The sequence below is a fragment of the Homo sapiens genome, chromosome 3 (assembly GCF_000001405.40).
Source record: "Homo sapiens chromosome 3, GRCh38.p14 Primary Assembly".
Classification (NCBI taxonomy): domain Eukaryota; kingdom Metazoa; phylum Chordata; class Mammalia; order Primates; family Hominidae; genus Homo; species Homo sapiens.
The window spans coordinates 190,154,861-190,168,597 of NC_000003.12; the positions used below are offsets into that span (position 1 = coordinate 190,154,861).

General features: G+C 39.1%; 2 pseudogenes, besides 1 other annotated feature; one reads left to right on the forward strand and one right to left on the reverse strand.

The window, feature by feature from the left end:
- Positions 7,050 to 7,761: an enhancer, noted in NCBI's record as "OCT4-NANOG hESC enhancer chr3:189879699-189880410 (GRCh37/hg19 assembly coordinates)". NCBI's record gives its function as "activates a minimal SCP1, AML or CMV promoter by ChIP-STARR-seq in naive H9 embryonic stem cells {active_cell/tissue: H9 hESC(naive)}" and the evidence as "EXISTENCE:reporter gene assay evidence [ECO:0000049][PMID:30033119]".
- Positions 10,557 to 10,663, reverse strand: RNU6-1109P (RNA, U6 small nuclear 1109, pseudogene; annotated as a pseudogene).
- On the forward strand, positions 11,848 to 12,349 carry NMNAT1P3 (NMNAT1 pseudogene 3; annotated as a pseudogene).

The window sequence follows — 13,737 nt, forward strand, 5'->3', positions numbered from 1 at the left end:
GTCTTTCTGCTGGAATCAACTTTGGATTGGACAAGTTAGTGAAAGAAAAGTTTATGGCTGGTCAACACAAGAAAGTGAGGGTTTCTCAGAGTCTTAAAGAGTAAACAGTCTTTTGATGAGCCTAAAGTTGTCACTAAAGTGACACTAAAGTGACCTATTGTCCTATGAACAGGTAAGGAGAGCTAGAGGAGTAGTCTGTTGTTCAGATAAATGGTTTCTGGAGGAAGTTCTTAAAACAGACAATAAAGTCAGTTGGAACTTCTTCCTGGGCTAGAGTTTTCTAAAGTTCTGTTAATTTACTCAGTGAGCTATATGTTTCAGATTGTTTCTTTTCTCAATTCGCAATGCCATCTCTTATTAAAATTGTGTGGCAGAGGGAGGACACATATTGTGATTTACCCCATTTCAGGACATGAATTTTTTATCTTTAGGGGAGGTGCTTGGCCATTGGTAATTTTTTTTTTTTTTTTTTTTTTTTGAGATGGAGTCTTGCTCTGTCGCCAGGCTGGAGTGCAGTTGCCCAATTTCGGCTCACTGCAACCTCCACCTCCTAGGTTCAAGCGATTCTTCTGCCTCAGCCTCCCCAGTAGCTGGGATTACAGGCACCACTATGCCCAGCTAATTTTTGTATTTTTAGTAGAGACGGGGTTTCACCATGTTGGCCAGGCTGATCTCAAACTCCTGACCTCATGATCTGCCTGCCTCGGCCTCCCAAAGTGCTGGGATTACAGGCGTGAGCCACCATGCCCAGCTCAGACAAGGCAGCAACCCAATGGCCTAGATCAACGTTTAAAGCCAGGCCACATAACGCAATGATGTTTTGTGTGTGTTTGATCAGTTATCCATCTGTAATGGTGGTGGCAAGGGCCAGATAAGGCATGTAATATATAAGATGACTCCTTCTAGGGGCTGTGGGAGTAGCGGGAAACTGAAAACGTGTCTATCACAGGTATTCATTGTCTCTAGGGAGTGCCTGGTCTGAGATGAATCACAGTATGTGCTCTCCACCCACATTTTTAATACAGGTGTTAAAAGGCCAACACCCTTGGAAATCACAGGGCTTAAAATTGCCAGTACGTGCGTACTCTGTCTAGAGCTTGTGTAGGCTGAATACACCAGGTGCCATGGCTGCTGTTGATGACTAGAAGTGGGTGGAGGCAGCAAAGGGGATCTTGTTGTTCCTGGGCCATGGTCCAGAGTCTCCAAAGAACAGACAGTGAAAAGATTATGAATCAGCTAATTGGTGTGGCAGTGTCAAATTATGGTCAGGAAAAGGCTGTTGGAAATATCAGGGAAATGCAGAAGTGGGAGAAGGCTGGAGGCCTGTTAGTGCAGAAAAGGGCCTGGCAGGAATTTAAACTAGTATACTACAGTGTTCTTGGTTGGGAAGGGAAAGCCTGGTAGGAACTGAAAATGAGGTCCTAGGGAGAACACAAGGAATAATCTAGTCACATATTAGCAGAGAAGAAAAGGATCCAGTCCAGGTACAGCTGTTGGTCGTGCTTTGGTCTCAGGCTACTTGAAAAAAGCAGAACTGTAAGTATTATATGCAATGACCAACCACAACAAGCAGAGAATTCAGGATTAGTAGCATAAAGGGCCTGCAGACAACCTCCCAGTGTTTTCCCCAATGACAATGAGCCAAAAAAGGAAAATAAAAATTAAGTCAGGAAGGATGCTGTTGCTCACACCTGTAATCCTAGCACTTCGGGGGGCTGAGGTGGGCAGATCACCTGAGGTCAGGAGTGTGAGACCAGCCTGGGCAACATGGTGAAACCCCATCTCTACTAAAAAAATACAAAAATAGCCAGGTGTGGTGCAGGTGCCTGTAATCCCAACTGCTTGGGAGGCTGAGATAGGCGAATCGCTTGAACCCGGGAGGCAGAGGTTGCCGTAAGCAGAGGTGGCGCCACTACGCTCCAGCCTGGGTGACAGAGCAAGACTCCATCTCAAAAAAAAAAAAAAAAAAAAAAAGTTAAGTCAAATGAAAAAGACATACCTAGAGAAACATTGTTCTCAAGGAGGAATCTAATGGGACCAAATCCATGGATTTAGTACTTATGGGCTAGGAGGAAAATTAGAACCAAAGATGAGCAGCCATAGATCGACCCTTCCAAAAACATTATGCAAATACTACTGTGTCAAGATCGTGGAGACACAACTATTTCATATACTGCCAGTTTATAAAATCCCCTCGAAGAGGATTATGGCCTCATTTACTAAATCAGAAAATGACCCAGCAATTTCACTTCTAGGTATAACTTCTAGATAAATGTTTACATGTGTACATAAGAAGGCATTTACAAGTATGCTCATTGAAATGTTGATTGGAAACCAAAAAATTAGAAATAGTTATATTAGTTACAGAATAACTAAATTTACTGAGTTTTATTTAAATAAGAGAATACATATGTCCGTTAAATAAATAACTATAAGAATTGACATGTATAGATAATAAGTGAAAAAGCAAGTAGAAAAAGGATACATTCAGTATGGCAAAATTTATATATACACATACACAAATATATAGATTAGTAGCTGGGTGTCATGGCTGCATGTCAAATCTGTATTTCCAGCTATTTGGGAGAACTACTTGAGACCAGGAGTTCAATGCTGTGGTGTGTTATGATCATGCCAGCGAATAGCCACCGCACTCCAGCTGGGGCAACATAGCATGACCTTTACTCTAAAAAATAATGATAGTAATATAATTCATTTATAGGTACATACGTATTTAGAAAATGAATAAAAATATAGATTGCATATGCACCAAATCAATAAGAACAATTTCCTCAGAAGAGGGAATTGGGGTTTGGGATGATATCACACAACAGTATGTATAATATTTTATTTTTTAAAACATGAAGTACATTTCTTATAATATTATCATTTATAATTTCAGTATGGTGGGCTTGTAGGTGTTTGTATTTTTGCTGGTCTTAAACCAACCAAAAGTAAATATACAAACAGAACAGAAAAAAAATCACATGGTACTCTTTATAATATTTAATAAATGGTACTAATTCAATGTATCTAACCCTGTGTAGGGTATTAACGATGTCAAGGATAACATTTAGTCCAAGCTTCCAAGGAGCAACTGATATCTAAAGACACACACACACACACACAAGCAATTACAAGAGTAAGTATAAACTTTTATGAAAACACGTATAAAGAAGATATTTCTTTTTGTTAGAAAAGGGAAGTCAAGAAAAACTGCAAAGAAGAAAAACATTTTAGATTGGCCATTCAGAAAGAGTAGGATGTTTGGGAATGGGGGAGAGCATGAATAAAGGCATAGAGATATAAAACAAGTAGACATTTTAAATAACAGCACAATGTATTGTGTGATTGGATTATCAATTGGATTATAAATTGGGTATACATTATAAATTGGGTATGGATTATAAAGGTAAATGACAGAAAATAGACCTGGAAATTGGGGATAGTTAATAAAAAGCCCAGAACGTCATATTAAGGAGTTTGGGGTACAGATGTACATCTCAATAAAATAATGCTGTTGCTGATATGGAGGATGATTGAATTGATGTGAATCTGGAGAAAGGAATACAAGAATCTAGGTAAGAGAGACTCATCATTCATTACTAGATGATGGTCAATATCCAGTGAGTCACTTCTACATCACATACTACAAATATAGCCTCAACATTTCAGAAATGAACTGAAGGTCAGAACTAGAATTATTACCCTGATGGTTGCTGGTGGCAACCTCGGAGAGAAGCTAATATTAGCCTCAAAACAATCAGAAAAGTTGGGTACAAAACTGCTCTTTACCCAATAGAGAAAGCTTTCTATTGACCATCTATTACTCATATAAAGAATAAATACATAATCAACACTCCCCAGGCAAAGAAGGTTCATTTGTTTGTGAAGCAAAACCAGCTTTCTTGGATGGTTGTACTGTAAACAAGAGCCCCTTTTAACTACACGCTTAAGAGTCTGTTGAACCTGCCAAAGGGCGGGTCACCTTGGCTGGAGTAATAATGCAGACTGGCTCCTCCACAGGAAAATTAGGGATTTGCAAAAAACCACCAAAGACCCTGAAAGCATTTGTGTGAGTGACCTACATATTTGCTGGAGTGACATTCTGGATGGAGACAGAGTTTATTCTTTGCTCTCATTCTCACCCCACTCTCCCTACCTTGTGGAGACAACATTGGTCTCAATGTCAGAGGCCTTTAAGTTAGTTTTACTAATACCTTTTCATCCCGTTAGAGTTTAGAAACTTGCTTCTCCTCTCAGGAATCCAGGGCCCTCATCTGAGAGTAAATTTTTTTTTTTTTAATTTCTCTCAACTGACTGCATCTTGACCTTGGAGCAGAGAATATGATAACTACATTACTCAGTAGTTTTATTCATCACGCTGATTCAGTGGTCTTTCAAATCCTTTCCACTAATTCGTGCAAAGGAAGCACCATTCTGAAAAATATGTGCCTGAAAAACATGCCTATTTACCTTCCAGCCTTTCAGGGGAATAATGATCTAAAACATGGCCACTGATCTTCAGAGTACCAGGGAAAGAGCAATAGTTCAAGGCCCAATTAGATGAAGACGAGTGCAGCTCAGCTGACCCTAAAGGTCTGAGATCTTGAGTCTCAGTGACTCTCCCTGGCTTTTTCTACACTGCTCAAGGCAGAGGCTTCCTGTAGAATTCCTTCAGGGACAAATTAGGTGCTTGGCTACTACCTTGTACTATTTTTATGTTTCTTGTTCTGTTTCTAACATCTGGTCCAATCAGATAATCTTCTCTAATTTGATGATGTTGGAGGCCTTACCCATCTTACATCTCAGAGGTTTGTGAGTGAATTCAAGGTAAGGTCTGTGCTTCTCTTTAAAGAAATAATTTGGAACGCATAATGTAAAGGTCTTTTCAAGATCCACATTCTCACTCTTGCCAAGGGCTTTCATCTCTATGCTTGGGAGATGGAAAGCAATGTGGAAAATTTTGATAAAGGTCTTTTATTAACTGTGAAACCGGGGGTGAATTATTTACTTTACAGGATCTTCAATTTATTTGTAACTAAAATCAGAGACTAAGTGCTCACTTACAAAATTGTTACCATCGTCACTTGAAGGATAAAGTTTGTGTAAGAGCTCTTGAAGTAAAAGAGATGTTCAGTACACAGTAGTTCATGTTACTATGCTACTCAGAGTAATCAACCAAGAAAAAAGTGCTATTGCGTTTTAGTATTAATAGCAACTTCAAACTTGAAAACTGAATTTTTGCAAGTCATTCTTCTTTCAGTTTTCTTTTGAAGACAAGGAATAACATTGTTGTGAATAGGTTATAGTAGGTGAGAACGGGGTAGAAGTGGGAGGTGGGATGGGGAGCCTACTTTCTTATTTACTGGTCTCCTCATCTGACTACACCATGACTGCTGTCATGCATCACACACTTATGCTTTGTACCTTTCTCTTTCCATTCATCTCGTTTACAAAAAGATAACTTTATTATTATGCTGTGTTCACACCTGAGTAGACAAACATGGCTGAAGAAAAACATGGGCTCACTTTATATTTACAACTCACGTTAGATATACAACACAAACCTCAGATGTAACCTCAGGGCTACTAAGCAATTCACTGAGGTCTCATGATTTAATATATTCTCCTCTCTTTAGACATCTATTTAATATTTTTCCCATATCTGAAAACCTTGCTTACCTTCTCACCGGTAGCGCAGGACTTTGTTTTACAGATTCACCTGAAAAAAATAGAAGTAATTAGAAGAGAGTTTCCTCATCTTCCCTCCAGCAAACTGTAGCTGAGCTACATCAGAATTCATATTCTGTGCTGTACTTTCTGTTAAAATGATGAGCTATATCCCTTTTCCGAATTAAGATCAGAATTTTCACTTGTGTTCTGAAATCTACTTCTTGTCCGGGTGCAGTGGCTCACGCCTGTATTCCTATAACTTTGGGAGGCTGAGGTGGCTGGATCACTTGAGGTCAGGAGTTCGAGACCAGCCTGGCCAACATAGTGAAACCTCATCTCTACTAAAAATACAAAAATTAACCAGGCATGGTGGTATGTGCCAGTAGTCCCAGCCACTCAGGAGGCTGAGGCAGGAGAAGTGCTTGAACCCCAGAGGCAAGGCTGCAGTGACCTGAGATCGCACTACTGCACTCCAGCCCGGGCAACAGAGTGAGACTCTGTCTCAAAAAAAAAGAAAGAAAGAAAAAAGAAAAGAAAGAAATCTACTTGTTATTATCTTCTCAAGGGCTTTATTCTTACATCATAAATGTTATACTTCCTCTAAAATAATTTCTATCAACATAAACGTGCTGTAATATATTTTACCTTTAAAAAACCCTAATGGATTTGATGTTTTCTGCTCTTCAGAAAGTAGTCCATACATTCTACCTTTACCTTTTTCCTCCTGTTAACTCCAAACACACTCTAATCAGGAATCCCTTCCACTCTACACTGAATCCACTTACCAAAGTTACCAACAAGCCTCATGAACCAAATCCAGTCATCAGTTCCCAGTCTTTATGTTATTTAACTTAGAAGCAGCATTACCAGAGTGCATTATTCCTGCTTTGATATGCTTCCTTTTTTTTTTTCGTTTTTCAATGCCTTGTCAGTTAGGCAAAAGATTCTAAGTTCATAGGGGCATCATTTCATAGTTGCTTTACATGTAAATTTCCATAGGGAAAGATCTTTCTCAAAAAAATTATTAACGTGTGTTGTGGGAAGTTAGGGACCCCAAACGGAGGGACCGGCTGAAGCCACGGCAGAAGAACGTGGATTGTGAAGATTTTATGGACATTTATTAGTTCCCCAAATTAATACTTTTATAATTTCTTATGCCTGTCTTTACTGCAGTCTCTAAACATAAATTGTAAAGATTTCATGGACACTTATCACTTCCCCAATCAATACCCTTGTGATTTCCTATGCCTGTCTTTACTTTAATCTCTTAATCCTGTCAGCTGAGGAGGATGTATGTCGCCTCAGGACCCTGTAATAATTGCATTAACTGCACAAATTGTACAGCATGTGTGTTCGAATATGAAATGTGGGCACCTTGAAAAAAGAACAGGATAACAGCAATTGTTCAGGGAATAAGAGAGATAACCTTAAACTCTGACCGCCGGTGAGCCAGGTGGAACAGAGCCATATTTTCTCTTCTTTCAAAAGCAAATGGGAGAAATATCGCTGAATTCTTTTTCTCAGCATGGAACATCCCTGAGAAAGAGAATATGCGCCTGGAGGTATAGGCTTATAAACAGCCCCCCCAGGTGCGCCTGTCTCTTGTGGTCGAAACTGCAGAAATGAAATAGACTCCAGTCTCCCATAGTGCTCCCGGGCTTATTAGGAAGAGGAAATTCCCGCCTAATAAATTTAGTCAGACCGGTTGATCTCAGAACCCTGTTTCCTGATAAGATGTTATCAATGACAATGGTGCCTGAAACTTCATTAGCAATTTTAATTTCGCCTCAGTCCTGTGGTCCTGTGATCTCGCCCTGCCTCCACTTGCCTTGTGATATTCTATTACCCTGTTAAGTACTTGATGTCTGTCACCCACACCTATTCGCACACTCCCTCCCCTTTTGAAAATCCCTAATAAAAACTTGCTGGTTTTTGTGGCTTGTGGGGCATCACGGAACGTACCGACATGTGGTGTCTCCCTTGGACGCCCAGCTTTAAAATTTCTCTCTTTTGTACTCTGTCCCTTTATTTCTCAAGCCGGCCGACGCTTAGGAAAAATAGAAAAGAACTTCTGTGAATATCGGGGCAGATTCCCCGATAGACTTGGCTTTTTTTCTGAGTAAGCAGTGATATCCAATCTGTTTTTGGGGAAATAAACAAACTTTAAGAGAGTTGGGGCTGGGCATGGTGACTCACTTCTGTAATCTCAGCACTTTGGGAAGCCGAGGCGGGAGGATCACTTGAGGTCAGGAGTTCGTGATCAGCCTGGCCAGCACGGTGAAACCCTGCCACTACTAAAAATAAAAATTAGCCAGGCATGGTTGTGCACACCTGTAATCCCAGCTACTCAGGAGGCTGAGGCACAAGAATTGCTTGAACCCGGGAAGCGGAGATGACAGTGAGCTGAGATCATGCCACTGCACTCCAGCCTGAGGGACAGCGAGACTCTGTCTCAAAAAAAAAAAAAAAAAATTAAGAGAGTGGTACTGAGAAAAGTACCACCAGCATGCATTTATTTATTTATTTATTTATTTATTTATTTATTTATTTATTTATTTAGAAGGAGTCTTGCTCTGTTGCCCAGGCTGGAGTGCAGTGGAGCGATCTTGGCTCACTGCAACCTCCACCTCCTGGGTTCAAGTGATTCTTCTGCCTCAGCCTCCTGAGTCACTGGGACTACAGGCATGCACCACCACACCCAGCTAATCTTTGTATTTTTAGTAGAGACAGGGTTTTGCCATGTTGGTCAGGCTTGTCTTGAACTCCTGGCCTCAAGTTATCCATCTGCCTCGACCTCCCAAAGTGTTGGGATTACAGGCAAGAGCCACCCCAGCTGGCCCATTTAAGTCTTTAATCCATGTTAAGATGGTTTTTATATATGGTGTGAGAAAGGGGCTTTTCTAGTTCTTTTACATGCATTACTAAGTTATCGGCTGGAAGTTTTCTAATTTTTGGATGTAGGTGCTTATGGCTATGCATTGACCTCTTAGTATTGCTTTCACTGTATTCCATAGGTTTTCATATGTTGTAGTTCCATTTTCATTTGTTTCAAGAAATTTTTAAATTTTCTTCTTAATTTCTTCATCGACCCACTGGTCATTCAGGAGCATATTGTTTAATTTCTGTGTATTTGTAGAGTTTCCAAAATTCCTCTTGTTTTATTCCATTGTAGTCAGGGAAGATACTTGACATTATTTCAAGTTTTTTTAATTTTTAAAGACCCATTTTGTGGCTTAACGTACGGTCTTTCCTTTAGAGTGATCTACCTGCTGAGAAGAATGTGTATTCTGCAAGTATTGGATGAAATGATCTATAAATATCTATTATATCCCGTATTAGTAAGGGTTCTCTAGAGAAACAGAACTAATAGGATATATATATATGAGTATATATGAGTTTATTAAGTGTTTTTTTTTGTTTGTTTGTTTTTTTTTTGAGTCTTGCTCTATTGCCCAGGCTGCAGTGCAGTGGCACATTCTTGGCTCACTGCAACCACTACCTTCCAAGTTCAAGCCATTCTCCTGCCTCAGCCTCTCGAGTAGCCGAGATTACAGGCATGCACCACCACACCCAGCTAATTTTTGTATTTTTAGTAGAGACAGGGTTTCACCACGTTGGCCAGGCTGCTCTTGAGCTCCCGACCTCAAGTAATCTGCCTGCCTCGGCCTCCCAAAGTGCTGGGATTATAGGCGTGAGCCACTGCGCCCGGCCTATTAAATATTAACTTACACAATCACAAGGTCCCACAATAGGTTGTCTGCAAGCTTGAGGAGCAAGGAGGGCCAGTCCAAGTCCCAAAACTGAAGAACTTGGAGTCCGATATTCAAGGGCAGGAAGCATCCGGCACGGGAGAAAGATGTAGGCTGAGAGGCTAGGCCAGTCTTATCTTTTCACGTTTTTATGCCTGCTTTATATTCAGTGGAAGCTGATTAGATGATGCCCAACAGATTAAGGCAGGTCTGCCTTCCTCAGCTCACTGACTCAAAGGTTAATCTCTTTCGGCAACACCCACACAGACAGGCCCAGAATTAATACTCTGTATCTTTCAATCCAATCAAGTTGACATTCAGTATTAACCATCACAGGTCCATTTGGTTTATAGTGCAGATTAAGTCTGATGTTTCTTCGCTGATTTTCTGGCTAGATTATCTGTTCAATGCTCAAAGTGGAATGTTGAAGTCTCCAGCTATTATTGCATTGGGGTATACCTCTCTTTAGCTCTAATAATATTTGCTTTATATATCTGGATGCTCCCGTGTTGAGTGCATATATTTTTATAATTCTTATATCCTGTGGCTAAGTTGACCCCTTTGTTATTATATAATGACTTTTTTTTTTTAATAGTTTTTTGTTTTCACATGTATTTTGTCTAAGTATAGCTACCCCTGCTCTTTCTTGATTTCTGTTTGCGTGGAATATTTTTTTCCAACTCTTTATTTTCAGTCTATGTATGTCTTTATAGGTAGGGAGTGTTTCTTGTAGGCCACAGATTATTATTCTTTAAATCCATTCAGCCACTCTATGCCTTTTAATTGGAGAGTTTATTCCATTTATATTCAATGTTATTATTGATAATTAAGGACCCCTGCCATTTTTTTTTTTTTTTTTTTTTACTGTTTCATGGCCTTTTCTTCCTTTGTTCTTTTCTTCCTGTCTTCACTTTAGTGAAGATGATTTTCTCAGTAGGTTTGTTTTAATTTCTTGCCTTTTATATTCTGTGTGTTTTGTTTTGTTTTGTTTTTTTGATTTGAGGTTATCATGAGGCTTGCAGATAATATCCTATAACTCATTATATTAAAGTGAAGAAAACCTAGCACTGATTATATAAACAAACAACTAGCAAACACTCAAAGAGAAAACTAATAAAAACTCTACACTTTAAAAATATGGACTACTTCACATAATTGCATGTTATTCTTTGACAGGGGTCATGGTAATCATCTCTGTATGATTCTACTTTTATTATATGTGGTGCCAACATAAACACTCAATTATTTATGTAAGTAAATTAAATTCTCCAATCAAAAGACCTAGGGTGGCTGAATGGATTAAATAGCAATTTACAACAATATAATTCCTGCAAGAGACTCACTTTAGCCTCAAGGAAAAACATAGCCTGAAAGTGAAGGGATGGCATAAGATATTCCATGCAAATGACAACCAAAAGAGAGCAGAAGTGGCTGTACTTAACAGTAGACAAAATAGACTTTCAGTCAAAACAGATGAAGAAAGTCACTATAAAAAGAGGTCAATTAATCAAGAGCATATAACTATTGTAAATATATAAGCATCCAACTTCAGAGCACCTACATACATAAATCAAATATTAACAGAACTTAAGGGAGAAGTAGATAGCAATACAATAGTAGAAGACTTCAGTACCCCGCTGTCAACAATGGATAAGTTATTCACTCAGAAAATCAGCAAGGAAACAGCAGACTTGAATACCACAATAGATCAAATGTCCTAACTGATAAATACAAAACATTACTTCCAATAGCAGCAGAGTAAACATTCTTCTCAAGCTTACATGGAATATTCTCCAGGATAGATAATATGTTAGGCCACAAAACAAGTCTTAACAAATTTAGGAAGATTGAAATCATATCAAGTATCTTTTCCAACCACAATGTTATGAAACTAAAAATCAATAACAGGAGGAACTTTGGAAAATTAAAACATATGTGGAAATTAAACATACTCCTCAATAACCAAATTACTTTTTCTGGTCAGAGAAGAAATCAAAAGACAATGAAAATGGACTCACAACACATCAAAACTTATGGAGTGCAGCAAAAAGCTTCATTCCCTATGGGGGAAATTTACAGTGATAAATGCCTACATCATGAAAAAGAAAGGTAGAAAGAAAGAAAGAAAGGAGCAACCTTACTTTATACCTCAAGAAACTAGAAAAATAGAGAAAATATGAATCTAAAATTGACAAGAAGAAGGAAGTAAAAATTAGAGCAGAAATAAATGAAATAGAGATTAGAAAAACAATTTAGTCTCCAGAAACACTCGGGCTGGTGGCAGTGAGGGTGTTAATTATAATTTGGATATAAAACCATTTTCCTAGCCCACCTTAGAGAAGACTGTTGCCACGCTAGTTGAAATGGTTCCAATAGCCTCCCTTGCAAGTCACTTCAGAGTCAAAGAATTTTCTTTGTAAAAACAGCAAGGGAGGTGTCACAGTATTCCATTTAGAGCGACAACTTTAAGTTCTTGCCATGGAAAATTCAGAGAAGACAGAAGTGGCTCTCTGTGCTTGTGGTTCCTTTAATTCTATCACCAACAAGCACCTCAGGTTGTTTGAGCTGGCCAAGGATTACATGAATGGAACAGGAAGATATAGAGTTGTCAAAGGCATAATCTCTCCTGTTGGCGATGCATACAAGAAGAAAGGACTCATTCCTGCCCATCACCAGGTCATCACGGCAGAACTTGCCACCCAAAATTCCAAATGGGTAGAAGTTGACACATGGGAAAGTCTTCAGAAGGAGTGGATAGAGACTGTTAAGGTGCTAAGGCACCATCAAGAGAAACTGAAGGCCAGTAACTGTGATCACCAGCAGAACTCACCTACATTAGGAAGGCCTGGACGAAAGAGGAAGTGGACTGAACAAAGACAAGATTCTGATCAAGAGGAATCCCCTAGAGCCAAAAATGAAAGGTGCGCCAAAGGTCCATCTGCTGTGTGGGGGTAGATTTACTGGAGTCTTTGGTGTTCTCAGTTTGTGGATGAGTGAAGATATCATCCAAATCGTGGCAGATTATGAGCTCATATGTATTACTTGATATATATTATCATGGAAAATTCAGATTAAATTGGAAATGATGCTCAGAAATTCATCTATGAATCTGATGTGTTGTTGAAACATCAGAGCAACATTCACATGGTGAATGAATGGATGACTATTGAGATCTCATTGACAAAAATCTGGAGAGTCCTCAGAAGGGATCAGAGCATTTGCTAGTTGGCACCAGATCTTGTCCAATAATACCTTGAAAAGCAGAATTTGTACAGCTCCGAGAGTGAAAACAGGAATGTTGGGATCATCCTGCCCCTTTGCAGAGAAACACTGCAGAAGCTAAGGCATAGGAATTCTACAGCATGATGTTTTGGACTTCCCTTTTGGGGATTTGAAACAATCTGGGTGTTAGTAACGGGGGAAAGAAATTGTGATCCTGTTGCATAAAATAAAGCTTAAAAGTTTAGTAAAAATCAGTGGTAAGTTAAAATCAGGATTTATTTTTATTAGAAGTTGCTAAGATGAATGTTTTCCATATGTTTTGGTTTTTTTAGAATGTACAAATCTCTTTATCTTTAAACCAAGAGATTAGCAGCACACTAAAACCAGAAGAATTTTCAGTGAAACTAGCCACAAATAAGTAAAAAAGTACATTCAACTCTACCACATAAAAGAAACAGAGTGTGAAAAGCAAAAGTTCATTTAAAATTCTAACTTTGGTTATGAAGGAAATTGACATTGTGTGGATGCCTGTTGCTGGATAATCAGGAGCCAGGGTAGACAAAGGAAGGAACTCTTACAGTGGTGATCTTGTAAAGTGCACCATTGATAAATCGTCTCCAGTTACGCAAAACAATGATTGTGAATTTGCCTGGCAGAAACATTGCACCAATAGTTGGTTTTCTGTTTCACACATCAGAATGGCCAAATAAACTTTGGCGAGACTTATCTGCCTAGAGCTGCACCTTTGGAGGTAGGGAGTGAGGTCCAAGCCCGTGTATGTTTAGAAAGGTGTGCAGGTATTTCTGATGCCCACCAGAGGTAGAGAGCTGCTGCTTTACAGGTTACACACATTCATTTAGCCTTTTGCAAATCATATTCTAGCCCTGGCCATCTGCCACCTCTTTATCTTCAGGAACAACTTCAGAGATAACATCATGCTGCTTTGAAATGAGAAAACCAAAGATAATGAGGGGTCTCATTCAAGGAATTTATAAGTCTGAATGTTCTCAGCCTTTACTGATAGCTTAATCAAAAGATCTGAGTGGGGCACAGTGGCACATGCTCTGTAATCCCATCTACTTGCGATGCT